The 632-nt window shown below is 50.8% G+C and overlaps 1 annotated feature.

Moving 5' to 3' along the window:
- Window positions 237–416: an enhancer, noted in NCBI's record as "active region_28411". NCBI's record gives its function as "activates an Ori minimal core promoter by ATAC-STARR-seq in GM12878 lymphoblastoid cells {active_cell/tissue: GM12878}" and the evidence as "EXISTENCE:reporter gene assay evidence [ECO:0000049][PMID:35858748]".

The following is a 632-nucleotide window of genomic DNA, read 5'->3' on the forward strand; positions in this document are numbered from 1 at the left end:
CTGTATCAGACTCTTAAGTGGTTCTGAACTCTCTTTCTCTGTCTTTGTTTCACAGTCCAAAGTCTTCTTAACCAGAAAGTGCATTTCCTCTTCAGTACCAGTAACCCCTGGTTCCAACTGCGTCAAAAACACTCCCTAGGCTTTCTCATGGCTGTCTTACCTGCTTTGCTGGGGCTATTTATGGAGGAAGAGCACAGGATCTGTTTTGCCTTTCATCAGAGTCAGGATCAGAGCAGAGAGGCTAGGACACAAACATTGAACCCCGAGATCCGGACCACATGACTAGGGTGGCGGAAACTGGGGCCCAGCCACAGCCAAAGCCATGGGGAGGCCATGCCAGCACAGCCATCACCCCATCATCTCCTCCCCTGGCTGTTCGTCTAATCCTCAACAGTGCTGAGATGCCACAGACTAGAAAGTGCTACAAGAAACCACACGGATTTGAGTGTCACAGTTGTGTGTGAAAAATACTGAACCAACTCTGGACTGGGAGTCAGGAGGCCTGGCTTCCGGGCTTGGCTCTTCCACTGACCAGCTATGAAGGTCTGGGCAAGTTGACACGCCCCTCTGGGCCTCTGTTTTCTCATGCGTGATAAGAGGTTAATCAGCTGCTTGCCTATCCTCACAGGATT

Source organism: Homo sapiens, chromosome 9, assembly GCF_000001405.40.
Source record: "Homo sapiens chromosome 9, GRCh38.p14 Primary Assembly".
Lineage (NCBI taxonomy): Eukaryota > Metazoa > Chordata > Mammalia > Primates > Hominidae > Homo > Homo sapiens.